Source organism: Homo sapiens, chromosome 17 (assembly GCF_000001405.40).
Source record: "Homo sapiens chromosome 17, GRCh38.p14 Primary Assembly".
Taxonomy (NCBI): Eukaryota; Metazoa; Chordata; class Mammalia; order Primates; family Hominidae; genus Homo; species Homo sapiens.
In genome coordinates, this window is record NC_000017.11 from 63,369,869 (window position 1) to 63,390,817 (window position 20,949).

Genomic DNA, 20,949 nt, shown 5'->3' on the forward strand with positions numbered 1-20,949 from the left:
CTGGGATTACAGGTGTGAGCCACCTCGCCTGGCCTAATTGCAGTTTTTAATCCCTCCATCCTTACCTTCCCTACACAAAAAAAAGACCAAGCGCTTTTGAGTATCACCAAAATGTCTCTCCCACATACACCCTGCTCTCTCTTCTCATTTAATAGGTCTTAGCATTTCTCACCTAGCCTTTTGCTATAAACCTCATAACTGATGTCCCAACTAGTATCCCAAATATCTAATTTATGAGGATATTATGTTTGTTTCTGCCCATTTTCACTGATATTGAGATAAACAGTTCCTTAGTCCTCCTTTCTTTTTTTTTCTTTTTTTTTTTTTTGAGACAGAGTCTCTCTCTGTCACCCAGGCTGGAATGCAGTGGTGCAATCTCGGCTCACTGCAACTTCCGCCTCCCGGGGTCACGCCATTCTCCTGCCTCAGCCTTCCGAGTAGCTGAGACTACAGGCATCCGCCACCACTCCCGGCTAATTTTTTGTATTTTTAGTAGAGACAGAGTTTCACCATGTTAGCCAGGATGGTTTCGATCTCCTGACCTCGTGATCCGCCCGCCTCGGCCTTCCACAGTGCTGGGATTACAGGCGTGAGCCACCACGCCCGGCCTCCTTAGTCCTCCTTTCTACTCTTTCTTCATCCTTCTATCCATCCTCTGTTAGCAATCCCTCATAAACTAATTTTCTTGTTTTATTTAAGGTAATGCTAACTACTGAAATAAGTAAACCCCAAAACCTAAGTGATTTATCACAATAGAAATTTATTTTTCACTCACATGAAGTCCAAAGGCACCACATGTTTTGGAAGAGGTCTGCCCTGTACCATTTTTCAGAGACGCAGGCCAATGGGGGCTCTGCCATCTTTCACACACTGCTTCCCAGCGTAATTGTTGTTTTCATCAACTGGCAGATGGGGGAAGACAAAAAACAGTGGAAGAGTGGAAGATTCTTCTGGGCCAGGTCTGAAGTGAATATTATTTCTGTCTGCATTTCGTTAACCAGAACTGAGTCACATAACCCCACTTGAATGCGAGGTCCCTGGCAAGGAAGCCACTTGCCAACAAGAACTCTTGACTTGGAAGGCGAGCACAATCTTTGGAGGCCGCCAGCCATCTCTGCCTCATAATTCTCGTCTCACTAGGTCTCTTTAAATAACCCACATTAGCCTCCGTAATATAAAGACACTTCACAGCAGCACATATTATTTCCTCCAAAATTATAAGATAGGCTTTAGATTATAAGAATTTTCTTGCCAGCTAGCTGTAACTATACCACTTTGTCACATCTGACCCTCACACAGAATATCAAAGCACCTGGCCAGGTACGGTGGCTCACGCCTGTAATCCCAGCACTTTGGGAGGCCGAGGCAGGTGGATCACCTGAGGTCAGGAGTTCAAGACCAGCCTGGCTAACATGGTGAAACCCCATTTCTACTAAAAATACAAAAAATGAGCCAGGCGTGGTGGCGTGCACCTGTAATCCCAGCTACTCAGGAGGCTGAGGCAGGAGAATCGCTTGAACCAGGGAGGCAGAGGTTGCAGTGAGCTGAGATCACACCATTGCACTCCAGCTTGGGCAACAAGAGCAAAATTCCGTCTCAAAAAAAAAAAAAAAATCAAAGCACCTAAGTGTTGTTTCTCTGAAGCATTAGAAGGTTGTATATTAAGTTTGTCATCATAATGAAATCTGTGTGACTCCATATTAGTAACTCTGACTAGAACAGTGAGAAACTGTCCATGCTAGAAATATCCAGATTTATTTGTTAGCATGTTTTGGTACTACAAAGAGAAACTTTAAGACTAGCTATCTCCTGGGGTGCTAAGTGAAAACCTATTAGAAAAACAAACATAATGCCATTGTATATTTTGTGTGAAACAACTGTTATCCAACTTCCATAATGTTAAATGAGGATAGAGGGGAGTGATTCTTGCTTTAGAAAGGGTTTTTCTCTAAAAGACTCCATAGCTCTGAACTCTTGAGGTACAGGATCATCAAGTGACAGTAGTTCCTCACTGCCTTGTAACCCGTAGTTATCCAGAAGTGAGTGTCATTTGTCTCCAGTATCAAGGGACTACTCATGCCTACAAATGAGAGTGCAAGTAGAATTTGCTCTCTGCTATCCTGGATACCACCTTCTCTGACTTTTGTCAAAACACGCATACTTATCCAGCAAAGGGGAGGAGGGAGAGTGCTGGGGGAAGGATCCTCAACTGTGACCTGTGATCAACTTTCTCCTAAAATATCTAAAATCAAATATACCTTGAATATAAGATTTACTATCCTCCTGAAAACCTCTGGTCTACATGAGAAATTTATATTCTTCCTGTTAGCGTAATTTTTACCTTGTTTCTTAGGGATCAGTTAGCTCTGTCCTTACCCTCCCCTCTGCCTGAAGTTACAATTCCAAGTTGCATTTGCTAGCAGTGAACGGCATCTGTACCCCAGTAATTTTTCCCTGATCTGTGGACTTCTCTTCTGGCTGCAAAGGTAGTAGGGTACAGTGTGGAAGGGTAAGGATCAGGGTTAAGGACAGGGTATCACATTTCACCCTGCTACACACATTAAAGACTAAAGTTCCATTTGAACACACAATCATCTTCCTATATGTTTAAAGTCATTTGTGGTTACTGGTCATTCCTTTAGTTTAGCGTTACACTAGTTACTCTGAAGAATATAAAAGAAATATAAAATAAAATGCATTCGCTTAATATGTCTCACTTAATTCTTACCACAGTCCTGAGAGGTAGATGTTACTATCCCTGTCTCACAAAGAGGTTCAGTATCTTGTCCTAGGTTATAAAGTGTGTAAGTGGCAGAACTAGGATTTAAAAGTAGGTCTGTTTGACTTTTAGGGATGAAGAGGCAGCACTGTGAATGCCAGTAAGGAAATTTGTAAAGTAACTTTGAATCATAAGGTGATATTATATAAGCTATGTGAAAATAATTCTCTTCTGTCTTCACTTCCCTACCCCATGGCCTTTATGACCATATCTGAACCCATGTTAAAGTTGATTATGATTACCATCTTTTTTTTTTTTTTTTTTTTGAGATAGGGTCTTGCTCGTCACCCAGGCTGAAGTGCAGTAGCACGATCACAATTTGCTGCAGCCTCAACCTCCCAGGCTCAAGTGATCCTCCCACCTCAGCCTCCCAAGTAGCTAGGAGCACAGGCACATGCCACCACACCCGCCTAATTTTTTAAATTTTTTGTGGAGATGGGGTCTCGCTATGGTATCCAGGCTGGTCTCAAACTCCTGGACCCAAGCAATCCTCCTGCCTCAGCCTCCCAAAGTGCCGAGACTACAGGTGAGAGCCACTGTGCCTTGGCCTCATCATCTTTAATTATAAAGGGAAAGCATAGTTGTGCTCTGTCATGCTTTAAAACATACCACGCTTCCTAGAGCTGTCTCTACCTTATTTCTTACCTACTCTTTCTCAAAATGCCAATCAAAAAGTGTCAAAATCATGGTTGCTGATTTTAATTATGTTAAAATTAAAGAATTCAGAGTTTATACTATACAAATGAGTATATTGTTCTTTACAGTGGTGGATTTTTTTTCACACAAGTGTGTTCTGAAACAAAGACCAAGTTGCTAATCTTAGTGTGGTAATTGAACTAGATTTCAGTGGAACTAGGTTTCAGTAGAACTAGATTTCAAAAACACTGAAGTTCTCATTCTAGCTCTTTTACTTCCTAGGCATGCGAGCTGGGTCTGTCCCTCAATCTTGCTTAGTCTCTGTCAATCCTCTACCATAATATTGGGAGTAGTATTTACTGCTATACCTATGGTATAATGATTTTTTGAGAATCTAAAAATTATTAAAGTATTTTTCTGGGTGCAGTGACTCAGGCCTGTAATCCCAACAGTTTGGGAGGCCAAGCCGGGCAGATAACCTGAGGTCAGGAGTTCAAGGCCAGCCTGGCCAACATGGTAAAACCCCATCTCTACTAAAAATACAAAAATTAGCCGGGCATGGTGGTGCACGCCCATAATCCCAGCTACTTGGGAGGCTGAGGCAGGAGAATTGCTTGAACCCAGGAGGCGGAGGTTGCAATGAACCAAGATCATGCCACTGTACTCTGGCCCAGGCAATGGCGTGAGACTCTGTCTCAAAAAATAATTATTATTATTATTAAGTATTTTGATTTTTCAGTTGTTGTTGGTTTTTTTTTTTTTTTTTTTTTTGAGTCAGGGCCTCGCTGTGTTGCCCAGGCTGGAGTGCAACGGTGTAATCATAGCACACTGCAGCCTCGACGTCCTGGGCTTAGGCAATTTTTCTGCTTCAGCCTCCCAAGTAACTGGAACTACAGGCACACGCCAGCACAACTGGCTAACTTTTTAACTTTTTTGTAGAGACAGGATCCTGCTTTGTTACCCAGGCTAGTCTTGGACTCCTGGACTCGAGCGACCCTCCCACCTTGGCCTCCCAAAGTGCTGGGATTACAGGTGTGAGCCATCATGCCTGGGTATTTTGAAAACCTTAAGATACACAGGTATAAGATGTTATTATTTACTCATCCATTCTGCAAATATATACCCCTATTACCTAGACTCTGTTGAGGATAGAGGCCGTGCTTTTTCCCACGTGTGGAGTAGAGCAACATAGAAGAGTGCCCTGCAGTGGGTGCTGTAATGGAGATGTGTACCAGGTACAACAGGAACCTAAGGAAGGAACCCCTGAGTTTATCGGGGGGCACCAGGGAAGGCTTCACAGAGGAGATGATGTGAGTTGCCATTTGAAGAATGAGAAATTGTTTTTCTGATGAACTAAACAGGAAAGAGAATTCCAGGCAGAGGGAAAGCATGTTTGAAACCCTACAGATAATTTACTCTGTTTAGAATTGAAAGGATAAGGTAAAAAGGTAAAGACAGACAAATAGGCAAGGGACAAATTATAGAAAGCCCTTGGATACCATGCTAAGGAATTTAAATTTTATATCAGAGGGAAAATAAAACTAGCAAATAATTTTGAGCAGAATTTTGATCAGGTTTTTGCAATGTAGATTATTGGGATGGCCAGGGAGTGAGCAGTCAAGAATAAAATGAAGAGAATGAGATACTTGTGACTTTTCAGGAGAGAAAATATAGGAGAGGGGGGAAATAGCTACTACGTTTTATGCCTGAGTAACTGGCAATATTTAAAAAAAAGAGAGAGAGATGGTTTTGAGGGAAAGCTCCAACTTCAAAAAGTGAGTTTGATAGTGATGGAGGTGGAGAGATCCAGCAGACCGAGAAGCAGAATTAAATCTCAGTGCTCAAGATGTCACCATGGGAGCTAATATAGAATGTACATTGCTGTTTCCCCTTATGTCCTACATACCACAAACTTTGAGTCCAGTGTACTGATCAGAACCATCCTTTTAGTAATAATGTAGCATGCTTGTATTCAAAAAGAAATGAACTATAGTTGCCACCTTCATCTTATCCTTGACCTGTATTGCTTGCTGTTTCTCCTCAGTGCCTGATGCAAAAGCAAGCAGTTATCTCTAGCCAGCTGAAATGAAGACTAGAGAAATGCAGACATCTCACCAGCATTTCTTAGTTATGGTGGTAAAATGAAAACACTAGGGTAAAGTCAATTCTATGTCTAACTGAAAGTTCATTTCCTTGTCAAGCACAAGCTTTTTTACATTAATCCCAATAGGCATGAATTCTCATTAACAGCCTAAAGCATAGATAGTGGATCAGAGACTTATATTCAGAAGTTCTAGTCACAGTGGAACAGCCATGGATGAGTAACTTAAAGTAATAATTCTTATACCAGGGAGGCTACAATAATTTTACTGTTAAGAGCTGGACAGAATTTTGAGATCTTGAGAGTAAGATACTTCATAAATGCTTTGTATTGTTGTCTAACTTCCATATGGTCTGTTAAAATAACTTACTCAAAAAATAACTTAATTCAAAAAGAACAATCTCTATTGAAAAAACTAAAATAGGCTGGGTGCAGTGGCTCATGCTTGTAATCCCAGCATTTTGGGAGGCTGAGGTGGCCAGATCATGAGATCAGGAGTTCAAGTCCAGCCTGGCCAGCATGGTGAAACCCCATCTCTACTAAAAATACAAAAAATTAGCTGGGCATGGTGGCACATGCCTGTAATCCCAGCTATTTGGGAGGCTGAGAGGAGAATTGCTTGAACGTGGGAAGTGGAGGTTGCAGTGAGCCGAGATCACACCACTGCACTCCAGCCTGGGTGACAGAGCGAGACTTCATCTCAAAAAGAAAAAAATAAAATAACCTATCACCTAAACTGAGTTTTCATGGGATAAATAAGAGTTCAGGGCCGGGTGCGGTGGCTCACACCTGTAATCCCAGCACTTTGGGAGGCCAAGGCGGGTGGATCATGAAGTCAGGAGATTGAGACCATCCAGGCTAACACAGTGAAACCCCATCTCTACTAAAAAATACAAAAAAAAAAAAAAATTAGCCGGGCATGGTGGCAGGCGCCTGTAGTCCCCATATGTTGTGGGAGGGACCTGGTGGGAGGTAATTGAATCATAGGGGCAGTTTCCCCCATGCTGTTCTCGTGATAGCTGATAGTTTTATAAGTGTCTGGCATTTCCTCTGCTGGCACTCATTATCTCTCCTGCCACCCTGTGAAGAGGTGCCTTCTGCTGTGACTGTAGAGTTTTTAAGTGTCAGTAAAGAACCTGGAACACAGGGGATGGGACAGCTCCCATCATACATAGGAATCATCAAATGGATTTCATTCCAGTAAGAGTTTAAAAAGGGACTTTAATTTTTGCCTTTACAGAATTTCTAAATTGTAGTGGATACCAGGTCACCTTGTTTGATTGGATGAATTAACCATAATAGAAAGGAAGTTATTTAATTGGGAGAATGTCTCAGACAAGTGTAGCTTGCATGGAATCATCAGTATCATCTGAAGGTGTGAGTCCAGGGTTCTTTCGAACTCATAAAATCTGGAAATTGCCACTGTACTCTTTTTTTTTTTTTTTTTTTTTTAGATGGAGTCTCACTCTGTTGCCCAGGCTGGAGTGCAGTGGCACAATCTCAGCTCACTGCAAGCTCCGCCTCCCAGGTTCATGCCATTCTCCTGCCTCAGTCTCCCAAGTAGCTGGGACTACAGGTGCCCACCACCATGCCCAGCTAATTTTTTGTATTTTTACAAAATGAGGCTTGGGGCTTGCACCCTCTGAAGCAACGACCTGAGCTGTATATTGGTCCCTTTTAGCCACAGCTGGAACGCAAGATACAAAGTCTGGAGATTGCACAAAGCAGCAAGGCCCTGGGCCCAGCCCACTAAGCCACTTTTTCCTCCTAGGCCTCCAGGCCTGTGATGGGAGGGGCTGCCATGAAAACCTTCAACGTGCCCTGGAGACATTTTCCCCATTGGCTTGGTGATTCAACATTTGACTCCTCATTGAGTATGCAGATTTCTGCAGCTGGCTTAGATTTCTCCCTAGAAAATGGGTTTTTATTTTCTATTGCATTGTCAGGCTGCAAATTTTTCAAACTTTTATGCTCTGTTACCTCTTGAATGTTTTGCTACTTAGAAATTTCTTCCACTAGATACCCTAAATCATCTCTCTCAAGTTCAAAGTCCACAGATCTCTGGGGCAAGGGCAAAATGCCACCAGTCTCTGCTAAAGCATAGCAAGAGTCACCTTTACTCCTGTTCCCAACAAGTTCCTTATCTCTATCTGAGACCACCTCATCCTGGACTTCATTGTCCATGTCACCATCAGCATTTTGGTCAAAGCCATTCAACAAGTCTCTAGGAAGTTCCAAACTTTCCCACATTTTCCTGTCTTCTTCTGAGCCCTCCAAACTGTTCCAACCTCTGCCTGTTACCCAGTTCCAAAGTTGCTTCCACATTTTTGGGCAGCACCCTACTCTCTGCAGTACCAACTTACTGTATTAGTCCATTCTCACACTGCTGTAAAGAAATACCTGAAACTGGGTGATTTATAAAGAAAAGAGATTTCGTTGACTCACATGGCTGGGGAGGCTTCAGGAAACTTATCATGGCAGAAGGCACCTCTTCACAAGGCAGCAGGAGAGAGAATGAGTGCCAGCCAGGGAAATGCCAGACACTTAGAAAACCATCAGATCTCTTGAGAACTCACTATCATGAGAACAGCATGGGGTAAACCGCCCCCATGATTCAGTTACCTCCCACCAAGTCCCTCCCATGACACGTGGGGATTATGGGGGTTACAATTCAAGGTGAGATTTGGGTGGGGACACAGAGTCAAAGCATATCAGCCATAGAGAGACGGTTCTAAGTGTCAGCAGTTCTTAGAGGCCATAACAAATGGGGTAAGAAAACACATCTCAAAGGTGATCTAGTGTCCTTTAATGCCAGATTTTTTCTTCTAAAAGTTTTATTGAGCATTTTTATATGCAGTAGACTATGTTAGGCACTATGGAAGATATAAGTAATTCAGATTTCTTTCGTGAATGTAAATAGAAATACAACCCTAAATATACATACATGTCACACATACATACACACACACATTAACACTTAAAATAAGTGTATCATTAGGATGCTTTGAGCTGGAAAAAAAAAACAAAATTCCAATTCAAATAGATTAAACAGAACAGAAATCTATTACCTCATATAACAAGTTCAGAATTAGGGCAGCTAATAGGGCTCAAACTTTATTTTTCTGCAATTCTTTTAGCCTAGCCCTCCTGTTGACTTTGTCCTCAAGCCAGCTGACCACATGATTTGCAAGAAAACTAAGGCAGTTCTGGACATCATGGGCAGATAAGACAATATCCAGAGGCAGATAAAAGAGCTTTCTCTTTCATAAACAGGTTTGGGATCTGTTAGCAAGGAGATAATGGGGAACAGATGCTATCAGGAACCTCAATCTAGTGGAGGAGAGAGTATGTGACAGTATGGCAAACACTGTGCTAGAGGATATACAGTCTACACTGGTAGCCATAGAAAGAAAGCCCTCCATTCTCAGCTGGAGGGAAAGGGTAGGGGCTTGGTAGAGGCTGATCAGAGAAGACGTCACTTGGGGAAGAGGTTGTAAGTCCAGTTTGGGTCGTGTTGAGTGTGAGGTACTGAGACCTCCAAATGGGGAAGTACAATAGACAGTTGGATATATACTGGCCTAAGGCTGAGAAGAAAAGTCTAAATAAAGAAAAAGATACAGAATATAGGTGGTGGTGAAGGCTTTGAGGATGGATGAGCTAATCTAGAGCGAGGAAAGAATAGGACCAAGAATGAGATTCTGAGGAACACTGACATTTAAGCATGGGTGGAATGAGAGTTGCTGACAGAGACAGAAAATAAAAATGAAAATCTTGTAATGCCATCTGTGTGTGGGATGGGTGTAAGCCAACTATAACTGACATTTTGTGGTATTTATACATGTGATTTGGATAAGGAACTGCCTAGGAACCTTTCAGTACCCATTCTTTGCCCAGGAGCAGGTGCCCTTCCCCAAAAAACCAGTTGAATGATATAGTTTTGTTGGAGGTATGACTGGACCTGAAGAGTCCCCCAACCAAAGCAGAATTGGGGCATTAACATTTCTATTAAAATGAATCAGACTGGACGCAGCAGCTCATGCCTTTGGAGGCCAAGGCAGGTGGATTACCTGAGGTCAGGAGTTCGAGACCAGCCTGGCCAACATGGCGAAACCCCATCTCTACTAAAATAGAAAAATTAGCCAGACATGGTGGCAGGCGCCTGTAATCCTAGCTACTCAGGAGGCTGAGGGAGGAGAATCACTTAAACCCAAGAGGTGGAGGCTGCAGTGAGCCGAGATTGCGCCACCGCACTCTAGTCTGGGCAACAGAGTGAGACTCCATCTCAATAAATAAATAAATTAATTAATTAAAATGAATTTCTCTTTTTTTGCAGGAGTGGTCACACGTTACTTGCCTTCTGGTTTTCCCGCCAAGAGGGAAAACTAAACCGACAGCAGACTATTGAACTGGGACATCACATCCTCAAAGCACACATTTTTAAGGTAATTAAAGCAGTTGGAACCATTTTTCCGCCATCTCTAGCAGACTTTCATATGCTTTATGTAAGAGACTATTTCAGTGTAGTCCCTGCCTTCTGAAGTTCTTTTGCTGCAAACTTGGTTCATCTCCCAACACGTATGGCCTGTTCCTCCCTAGGCCTTTAGAACTACATTGTACATCTCCCAGTGTAACTAACTGATAGGCTTTTCAGGAAATGTATATGTATAATCATTGACAAGGTGCATATACACCTATAGATGTGTGCTCCATACATGACCTATCATCTCCTGAGGACAGTCATATTGTAGCAATTAGTTGCAGGTTTTCATGATGTCTAAAAAATCACTGAGGGCAATTACTCTTTCCATTTTTTAAAATTGTTTTAGTGACAATAATAACATTCCTGGTGCTATGACTTTCAAACCAACACTAACCTTCCTTGGAGCTACTTCCCCCAAATCTCTCTTCAAATTATATCCCAGTTTTTCTCCCATTAGTTTGAAAACCTTTAAGAACTCTATAACATCAGCTTCTCTCTCAGCCTTCAGAAGGCTGAAATGGAGGACCAAAAAGAGGACACATAATTTGTTTGTGCATGTATGCATTCATTTGTTTATTCATCACTTACTGAGGCATTAAACTGGGTACTAGAGATACAAAAACAAAAAAGATACAATCCCTAATCTTAAGGAATTTGTAGTTCAGATAACAGTTTTGGGTTAACCCACAAAAGTGGAGAAGGAAGTTACTGTGCTAATTTTTCTGTCCCACAGTCTGAGAGTTCCAATCCCTACAGCCTTTTCAGAATTCTTTTCCTGCCTCAGGATGGAGAATATGGGTATCTTAAACAGTTCTCTGGGTCAGGCTTCCCCCACAGGATATTGTTAAAAAATGAAACCATTGTCTTCAGAGAGAAAGATGGCATTAAGGATAACTTCAAGAGCCTAGCAAATTCTTCCCAATATATAAGCACAGAGCCAGAGCAGCCTGGTCATCAGATGGACAGAAGTGAAACCCACAGTGACAAATCTTGTATTTGAATCTTACTTGTCTTGTCTAACAAATCACTGTACCAAAAATGACCTTACTTAGTAGGAGCAGAGTGGAGCTAAAATAACTGGCAAGGTATGGCATTCCAGTTTCAAGCAGACTAAAAAGTAGCTAATAATTCCATAAACTCTAAGAGCATTGTCCTGCTGTTAGATAGTAACTGAAAGACAGTAACTTAAGCATTAACCTTTTAGCATCACTATCTGCCTAGAATCAGATGCAAAAATGAAGCTAATCCCTGCCTTTGCTGCCCCATAAAATAAATACCACATTCACAGAGAAGTAGCATGAAGCTTCATTTGACCAAGCTTCATTTGACGAAGTATTTTATCCCATACATGGAAACGTACATTTAAACATGCCCTCCTGTCATTAGCACAGTTTTATCTTATACTGATGCAGACAGCATGGTTGCCTGAGATAAGACTGGCTCCATGTGTGATTCAAGCCATAAATACTCTAGTGTACAGCATATGGTGGTGACGTGACTGCAAGCTGAAGAATGAAGACTTGGACTATGGTTTTCCTGGTGCTGCAGTTTACAGGATCCTTTAAATGCAGTGTTCCCTGTTGAGAGGCTTTAACTTCTCCCAAACTGCTAGAATTCTCAATCTGCACCAGCTGTGGGTCAAAGACAAATATAGACTTTATGGTTAGAAATAGTTCCACTTGAAACTTCTATTCAGCAGTGACACACAATCCAATGGGTACTTTTTTCCAATTAATTTTACATTTCTCTGGTTTTATATTCATAAAGGTGATGTTTGTAAATAACCCGCTTTAAAGAAGCTCATTGGATAAGCCCCCAAGGTTAGTTTTTGCCATGATCTTCAGATACCTGAGCCACAGCTAAAGATCCCTAAGATGAGATTGCTCTTGTTTCTTCATGCTTTCCCTGTTTTCTTAAGTATTCAAAAATCTTGAGCAAGCTTATCACTGGCTGCTAAACAGTTTTGTAAATTTAGATTCTAAGGAAGGGACTCCATTACCATTTATTGCCGACAAAAAGATCCCTTACCTGAGCAATAGTTACAGATACTGAAGAGGCACTTTTTCAAGCTATTCGAACATAAAATTCTCTTTAAGAAACCATGAGCTTAGAATTTAATTATGCATTATTTTTGGCTACATCCTGGCTGGTAATGGGATCACACTTCTCTGCCTGTCATCTTTGTTGAATTGAACCAAACTGACGCTCTTTTCTCCCGTACTTCACAGGAACAAAGGGTCAACTCCACTAACCAGAAGAAATCAAAAGTCCATAGTACAAGTAAAGCTAGTATTCCAAATCCAAAGCTATGTATTTCAGGCGTATTTCTTATGTATCTAGTCCAGCCTCAGTGCGGTTCTCAGTGCTGCTTTGTGGTCCATTTACTGGACCATTTAGTTGACATTCATTTACCAAGGTCCATTCTTACTCAGCTCCTTTTCCCATTTCTTTTTCCTCTAGCTCTTAATAAAGCCAACTAATGAAACAAACAGCCTAACTTGTGAGTCACTGAAAAAGATCAAAGCTACCAAGTGTGACTTCCTTTAACTATTTTCCTCCCCTCACCAGCAAATCAATCTATATCATTATCAATTCTTACCTCTTTTTTTCTTGTTTTAGAAGAAAAGATGTTCCTATTCCTCTTTAATTGCATTATGAAATATAGAAAAGTACAGATAATTGCATGTAATCAAATATTATCTACCAGATTTAACAAATGTTAACATTTTTCCATGTTTGCTTCAAATATTTTTCTTTATTTTTAAGAAATGAATGTAACAAATATAATAGATAACGCTTTTGTATTTCTCTTTTACCCCATTTCTCTGTCTCCCTTAGAGATAACTCCTATTCTAAATGTGTTGGGATTTAGCACATGCTAACACCCCTAACATGTTCTTCTCATCTATATTTTACACTTTTCCAATGTAGGTTCCTGTTCATAAACAATATATACAACTATTTTGGGTTTTTTAATGCTATAAGATTCTATAACTTTTTTCTCTTTTTCACTCAGCATTCTGTCTTTGAGATTTCTCTATAGATGTAGGTCAGTGATTTTCAACTCTGGCTATACATTAGATTCTCTTGCAGAGTTTTTTTAAAAATACACACACATTCCTGAGCCTTACTCCCAGAGATTATGAGTCATTGTTCTGGAGTAGAACCTAGGCTTCATTTTTAAAATAGACTTTATTTCTTAGACCAATTTTAGGCTTATATAAAAGTTGAACAGAAAGTACAGAGTTCCCACATACTCCCCCAACCACAATTTTCCCTATTATTAACATCTTGTACTGATGTGGTACATTTGTTACAATTGAGGAACCAATAGTGATACATTATTATTAGCTGCAGTCCATCCTTTATGTTAGGGTCCACTCTGTGTTGTACAGCTCTGTCGATTTTGCCAAATGCATAATGTCATGTATCCACCATTAAGTATCTCAGCATAGTTTCATTGCACTAAAATTCCTTTATCCGCCACCTATTCATTCCTCTCCCCTTACCCTCCTCAACCCCTGGCAACCACTGATCTTTTTACTGTTTCTGTAGTTTTGCTTTTCCCAGAATGTCATATAGTTGGAATCACACAACATGTAGAATGTTCAGACTGGCTCCTTTCACTTAGCAATATGCATTTAAGATTTCTACATGTCTTTTTTGGCTTGATAGTTCATTTCTTTTTATTGCTGAATAATATTTCACTATAAGGATTTACTACATTTTATTTAGCCATTCATCTATTAAAGGACATCTTGGTTGCTTCCAATTTTGGCAATTATGAATAAAGCTTCTATAAACACTAAGAGGCAGGTTTTTATGTGAACATAATTTTCAGCTCATTTGAGTAAATGCCTTAGTAGTGCAATTACCAGATTGTATGGTAAGACTATGTTTAGCTTGCAAGACATTGCCAGACTAGTTTCCAAAGTGGCTGTGCCATTTTGCATTCCCACCGGCAGCGACTGATCAGTAGTATTTTTGAAAAGCTTCCCAGGTAATTCTAATGTGCACCCCAGCTAGTTGAGAAACCACTATTCTTTTCTTTTCCTGTTTGAAAAAAATCACTATTCCACATCATTAATTTAAAGATGGCAGTATAGCAAGCATGGTAATTAAGAGATCAGACTCTAAAAACAGACTGAGTTCAAACCCTGTCTCTCTTAATTCCTGACTGTATGACTTTAAGCAAGTTGTTTAACTTTTTTTTTTATATTTTTGGAGACAAGGTCTTACTCTTCACCCCGGCTGGAGTATAGTGGCACAATCACAGCTTACTGCAGCCTTGAACTCCTGGGCTCAAGCAGTCTTCCCACCTCAGCCTCCCAAGTAGCTAGGACTACAGGCAAACAGTACTACACCTGGCTAATTATTTTTATTTTTTGTAGAGATGGGGGTCTCACCATGTTGCCCAGGCTGGTCTTGAACTGCTAGTCTCAAGCCGTCCTCCCTCCTTGGCCTCCCAAAGTGCTGGGATTACCACCACTAATCTTACTAATCTTTAAAATGGCAATAATATTAGCCCTTACTAAGTGGTTGTGAGGATTTAATTCATTAATATATATAATCCTCAGAAGAGGGGCTAGGATCTCTAAAGGCTACACACATATATATATTTGGGGTTAAGAGTCACCAAAATATAGGTGACTCTTACCTACATTTAATAGTTATATATATAAATGTTATATATGTAACAATTATAGTAGAAGCCCCTTTATATCTTTCCCTTACCCCATTCTCCTCCCTCCCCAGTGATAACCCTTATCCTAAAGTTAGCATACATATGTCAACAGAAAGGTAACTGTTACAGGTCTTAGACACAATTTTACTTTAATTTAATAGTTGGGAAAAAAGCATATAATGCTTAGTTGAATTCATAAGTGTGATGTCTTAGGAGTAGAAGAAATTGTCTGGGATTAAAAAGGACAATTTTGGAGAAGAGGGCCAAGGATGGAAAATGGTTTGGAATTAAAGGTAAAGGGAGAAAGCAGCAATCAGCTGTTTTGTCTGTTTTAGTCTATTATAGTTGCTACTTTTTCAGCTAAGATCAGAGAAGTGAGGTCCTGAATCAGGTGCCAATTACTTTTCCTTTTTTTAGTTGGTATAATGGAAGGAACATGAACTTTAGAGTAAAAACAGATTTGGCCTCTAATTCTAGCTCCAGGAGTTGTGTTCCCTCCTAAATAAAAATAGTGATAAATTCTACCTCCTAGGGCTGTTGTGAAGATTAGATTACATTAGAGAAGCTAAATCTGGAAAGGCCCTAGCACAGAACCTGACACATTGTAGATCTGAATAAATGTCAGATTTCCTGCCTTTTTTTCCTTCAACCATCATATGTAAGACATGTCTTCCATTGCTAAAAGCTTCCTCTGTTAGACTATGGATATTTCTTAATGCTGATTTTTCTCTCTGAATTCGTTAATATAGTTTATCATTCCTCAAAAGGTCTTGAGGCCCACACATATTATAAATTAGGAGATTGAGGCCCAAGTGGGGAGTCACAGCTAAGCTTCCTGGTCTTCCAGGATCTACAGTGCAGGTGTGCTCAAGAACCTAACTTGTCTGGACTCCAACCCTGAGTAACATTTAGAATTCTTCCTAAAAGATCTGGAACTATTCTATTTCATATGCCAAAATAACAATCAGAACTACTTAGTGATGTATTTGCTTCAGTTTTGTTTGCATGTAAACTGCATGGCCAAATGAGAGTTTGTAATTGATGTCCCTGTTACTTGCACAAATTAAAAGAGCTTCTGAAGTAATAATGAGCAATCAGAAGCTGCCCTTACCCACCTTTCCTACTGTTTTCTGTTTACCCAGCTCTGGGTGCCTACATGGGTACTATAGTAGACAGATTCAGAACAGAGCCCAGCCTCCTCAAGGCCAGAGAGAATATGGACTATGTAGAAATTAGGTAGCCATTTTTAAATAATCGAGGAGGATGAAAAGGGAAATAATCTTGTGGTGTGAGGGGTTAAAACTGGATTCTGTTTCAGCCTCCCAGCATAGGATTGTGTTTCTGGGCACCCAAAGGTCTACTCTGCTAGGATTTGACCCAGCCTTTTGGCTCATGCTCTTAGGATAGAATGGAACGAGAGGATACGTAGAAATAATTAGCACCATCCTTCCTCATTTTATCAAGCTGTGGATTTTTTGTTGAGAATGTATAAACACTTGCAGCCACTTTGATAAAGCCATGTCAAAATGTCGCAAAATATATCAACTTCTTGAGGCATATTCTATAGATATATATGCATAGGTGTATAAAGATACATGTACATGGATGATTATTAAAAGCTATAATAGTGAGGGAGAACAAAGCCTAGAACTACCTAGTAATATGAAAGTGTTTTAAAGCCAGTAACAGTGTATGGACCTTATGTGAATCCCAATTCAAACCAAAAAAATTTTAGTTCCTTTTTTTAGCTAATCAAGGGAATTTGAACACTGTTGGGATATTTCATATTATAGAATCCTTCTTAGTTTTAGGTATGTTTTAAAGAGTTCATATCTGTTGAGAGACACTGACTAAAATAATTAAATATTAACTGATAAAATATCTGGGATTTTTCAAAATAATCCCATCAAGGGAAGGGGATATGAGCAGGAATGTAAATAATACAAGGTTGGCCATGAGTTGAAAATTACTGAAGTGAGGTGATGGGTACATGAGAGCTTTACTATACTATTCCTCTCTACTTTTGTAAATACATTTTAAATTTTCCTTAATCAAAAATGTTTAATAAAGTAAATTTTACGTTGTTTATATGCACTTGTATGTATGTATTTTGCGTATATATAGAAAATGTGTTAAATAATAAACACTAATGTGTTAATAGGAGTCACCTCTTAGGATTGAGATGGGAGGTTTATTTTTAATACCATATTATTTTATTTGATTTTTATAACAAATTTGTATTATTTTTATAATTTCAAAAACTGAAATGTAGAAGTCTTTTTTCCTTCTGTTTTTTGGTGGTTGTTGTTTTTTGGTTTTTTTGAGACAAAGCCTCACGGTGTTGCCCAGGCTGGAGTGCAGTAGCACGATCACTGCTCACCACAGCCTCAAACTCCCGGGCTCAAGCGATCCTCCCACCTCAGCCTCCCAAGTAGCTGGGACCACAGGCATGCACCAGCATGCCTGGCTAATATTTTAATTTTTTTGTAAAGATGTAGTCTCCCTACATTTCCCTGGTCTCAAGCTCCTGGGCCCAAGCAATCCTCCCACCACCACCTCCCAAAGTGCTGGGATTACAGACATGTACCACTGCACCTGGCTGAAAATAAAATTTTTAATAGGAAAGTTCAATGATTTAATTTTTGGTTGCATCAGAATATCCCCACAGGGAGAAAAAAAAAGGTGCCTGTGTCGGAAAAGCCTTTAAAACGTTCGTGTATCTAGCCTTCCCACAGCATTATTCACCTTTCAGCCTTTCCTCTAGTGTGAGAATTCCCTCTACAGGAAGTTTTTTCCTAACCCACTTTAGAGACCCTGAACTCTCTATGGGAAGACCTTGACCACCATGACTAGAGGTCTTGTTAGATGAATTTATAACTCATAAGTTACTGACACATTCCTCCTTTGTAGATGCCCCTTCCCTAGTATGCCGCATAAACACACCTTCCTGATTTTGGGTATATGTAGGTATTCTAGGCAAGAACATTCTATATTTCAGGGACAAAGAAAGCAGAAGTAGCTTAAGTTTTTAAAAGAAGTACCTCCCTATATCTCTTATTACAACCCAAATTTCATTGTTAATATCTTCCTGCCCTCAGGATTTCCTTCTTTAACTGATTTGATCCAGATATTGACAGAAGAGTAAGATGATTGTCAGAGAGTGTCTAACAATCAGGAGATCTGAAGAACAAATTATTCTAACTTCCTTCTGGGGAAGCCCATGTGAAAAGGACAAATATTAGTACATGTCGTGGGACCTGTGCCAGTGATACTAGGAGAAAATTTGTTGCGGATGGAAATCAAGCCTGTATTGCTGTTTTTTTCCTGAGGATAAGCATATGTAATCATTTTGGGATATATTAGTTAAGGTGAAGAACACTAGCTGCTATTGACAAACCTGCAAAATCTCAATGACTTAACAAAGATTTATTTCTCCTTACATCACAGTACAGTGCAGATGTCTGGGCAGGCTCCTTCCGTGTAGTAGTTCTAAAATCACCTTGGGCCTCAGAATTCTCCATTGGATCTTCTACATCTGGCCTGTAATCAAAAGGAACAATAGAAAGTGTAGAGAAATATGCAGGAAGTTTTGGAGCCAAGCCTGGACATGACATATTATTTATGCCCTAATTTTATTCACCAGAATTCAGTCACATGGCCTACCTAACTGTAAAGGAGCCTGGGAAATAGAGTTTTTCCAAATGTTCAGGAAGAAAATGAAATGGAAATCCGTGATCACATTGCATTATTTCTGCCACAGTGTGTAATTTAGTAACTTGAATTTAAGAGATTTATTGAAGAAGGCTAATAAAAAAGATATGGAAAAATAAATTATATCCAGATAGAAAAGAGAGGTGTTGAGTAGACGTGTTGCTAAGGGCTGCAGAGATGGAGACTGTTTCAGTTAGCTTGTTCCTGCAGGACTGGTCTTTGTCCCCCCACCTAGGCTTTGCTTGGCATGAACATTGTTAGGGTGAGACTCCGCTCTCATTCATTAGTACCAAAAACAAAGAGGCCACTAATTCACCACTGATGCTACTTTTTTTTGCTGGGCTACTAATTTAATTGTCTGTATTTCTTATTCAGGGTTTGAGTAAAAAAGTTGGTGTATCATCCTCCATCCTCCAAGGTCTCTGGATCTCTTATAGCACAGAAGGTCTTTCCATGGCACTGGCGTCTTTACGAAATCTCTACACTCCAAATATAAAGGTAAATTTATAAAGAAATTATAAATATGATAAGGAATTAACTATGAAAAAATAAAACTAGAAGGACATTAAGTAGCTATTTAGTTGATCTTTGACTTGTCTTTCTTATTAGCCTTTTATTGATAATTTAATATATTTTAAATTGTTAAATTTTATTCTATAAATTAGAGACTAGCTCCATTGTCCTCTTAACTTCTATAAGCTGACTCTGACATATGGGATCAGGTCCTGCTGGTTCCAAAGAGTAAATTGATCTCAGGTAGCCTTTGTCTTGGTAGGAGCTTTTCTGACCAAGAGCTCACTTCGTAGAGACTATGTTCAGCACTACAGTATAGGAGGCAATTGCTCTAGTTACTATGCCATTTATGTAAAGGAGATATTTTACATTATCTACCAAAGGAAAAGAAAAAGGAGCAAATGAGATTATAAAATAAAGCAATTACTAAATGCTACTAGACACTGTTGTAGAATGTTAGATGGTTTAATAAAAGATGACTAAAAGGATGTGACTCCTGTTTGTCTAATTATTAGTTCTGTTTGTTTATTTCTAGGTCAGCCGACTGCTGATTTTGGGAGGTGCCAATATTAATTACCGGACAGAGGTTTTAAATAATGCTCCAATTCTATGTGTTCAGTCCCATCTTGGTTACACAGAAATGGTAGCCCTGCTGCTGGAGTTCGGGGCCAACGTGGATGCCTCTTCTGAAAGTGGCCTGACTCCCCTGGGATATGCTGCAGCAGCAGGGTACCTGAGCATTGTGGTGCTGCTGTGCAAGAAACGGGCCAAGGTACTGGCTGCCCAGCTCTGCTGCTTTTCTTCCCTTTTTCTTTATTTTCGATGCATACTCTTTCTTATCTCCAGTGTTACTTCATGAGTCTGGGTAGAGTATATCAAACCATGATGGAGAGGAGATCAGAGAGAGTGCTGGTTCTGCATATGTGCAGGGCCACTGCCATCCATCCTGCAGGAGCACACAGTTCTAAACCCTTTGAGAGGTGCTTGGGAAACTGCATTTATCCGTAACCACAAAAAGTTTCTACATAACAACCCAGAAATGATCTATTGAGCTCAGAAGAAGCCTCTTTTTAACAAAGAGAGGAAGGAGAAGTGAGGAAGCCAGGAGACTGCAGTGGCAGGTCTGGACCAAATGACACCTGCAGGCTCTAAGCCTTTCATGTGTAGAGAAGAAAACTTAGCCATGGAGATGAGAACAGGACCAGACACCTTCATCCTGTCCTTGAAGACCACCACTCTAGAGATAAGGGGAGAAGATGATTCTCCCTATTTATACTCAGACTGACCAAGGGCACCTCGAAGTGCTTCTGTTAGTACTGATCAGTTCTCTGAAAATATTTCCAAAATATGTTTGCTTTATGTATAAAAACTCGATTTCACAATATTGGTGAAAAGAAAAATGCTGGTCTCACAAATGTGGGCCTCTGGGAAAAAAAAGTCTGGCCTCATAGTATTTTGTTTCAGTCCTGAAAACAAACTGAGGACTTTAGTGGTTTCATAGTGAAATACAAGTCATAGTATGACTTCATTCTGCGGTATTCAGTGCTGTTACGAGGGGAGAAAGTGGGACTCCTCCACTCCTTTGGGAACTGAGACGTAGGCCTCTCAATGACATCTCAGAGCCTTAGAAGTTTACTGTAGCACAGTGATTGTGCACCTGTGACATCCCATTCATTTGAATGGACACCTCTAGGAACAATGATAACTGGGCCTCGTTACTATTTTCGTTTTCTTTTTAGAGACAAAGTCTTGTTCTGTTGCCTAGGCCAGAGTGCAGTGGCATGATTGTAGCTCACTGCAGTCTTCAGCCTCCCCAGTAGCCAGGAGTATAGGTATGTGCCACCACACTCAGCTTTATTTTTTTCCTATTTTGTAGAGGCAGGGTCTTGCTATATTGCTCGGAGGTTTGCTAAAACTCGTTGGATCAAGAGATCCTCCCACTGTGGCCTCCCAAAGCGCTAGGATTACAAGCATGAGCCACGGCAGCCAGCCCTTCTTACTATTGCTGTCACTTCATATTCTGATCTTAGCTGGGTCTTTCCTGC

At 40.2% G+C, this 20,949-nt stretch overlaps 1 protein-coding gene and 1 long non-coding RNA gene across 22 annotated transcripts in view, besides 2 other annotated features; one reads left to right on the forward strand and one right to left on the reverse strand.

Moving 5' to 3' along the window:
* Positions 1-20,949, forward strand: part of TANC2 (tetratricopeptide repeat, ankyrin repeat and coiled-coil containing 2) — a 461,469-nt gene that overhangs the window by 403,634 nt on the left and 36,886 nt on the right. For all 21 annotated transcript variants that reach the window (XM_011524597.3, NM_001394998.1, XM_006721810.4 and 18 more), the window contains 3 exons: positions 9,850-9,958; positions 18,767-18,889; positions 19,440-19,676. In XM_011524597.3, coding sequence (XP_011522899.1) covers positions 9,850-9,958; positions 18,767-18,889; positions 19,440-19,676 — 469 coding nt within the window. The remainder of the gene's footprint in view (positions 1-9,849; positions 9,959-18,766; positions 18,890-19,439; positions 19,677-20,949) is intronic.
* Positions 11,340-11,634: an enhancer, noted in NCBI's record as "tiled region #4360; K562 Activating DNase matched - State 5:Enh". NCBI's record gives its function as "activates a minimal TATA promoter and a strong SV40 promoter by Sharpr-MPRA in K562 cells {active_cell/tissue: K562}" and the evidence as "EXISTENCE:reporter gene assay evidence [ECO:0000049][PMID:27701403]".
* Positions 11,340-11,634: a silencer, noted in NCBI's record as "tiled region #4360; HepG2 Repressive non-DNase unmatched - State 21:Repr". NCBI's record gives its function as "represses a minimal TATA promoter and a strong SV40 promoter by Sharpr-MPRA in HepG2 cells {active_cell/tissue: HepG2}" and the evidence as "EXISTENCE:reporter gene assay evidence [ECO:0000049][PMID:27701403]".
* LOC105371856 (uncharacterized) overlaps positions 11,363-20,949 on the reverse strand; it is a 33,200-nt gene continuing 23,613 nt past the window's right edge. The window contains exons 3-4 of the long non-coding RNA NR_188626.1: positions 18,121-18,220; positions 11,363-11,627 (exon numbers count right to left, since the gene is read on the reverse strand). This is a non-coding gene — a long non-coding RNA (uncharacterized LOC105371856). The remainder of the gene's footprint in view (positions 11,628-18,120; positions 18,221-20,949) is intronic.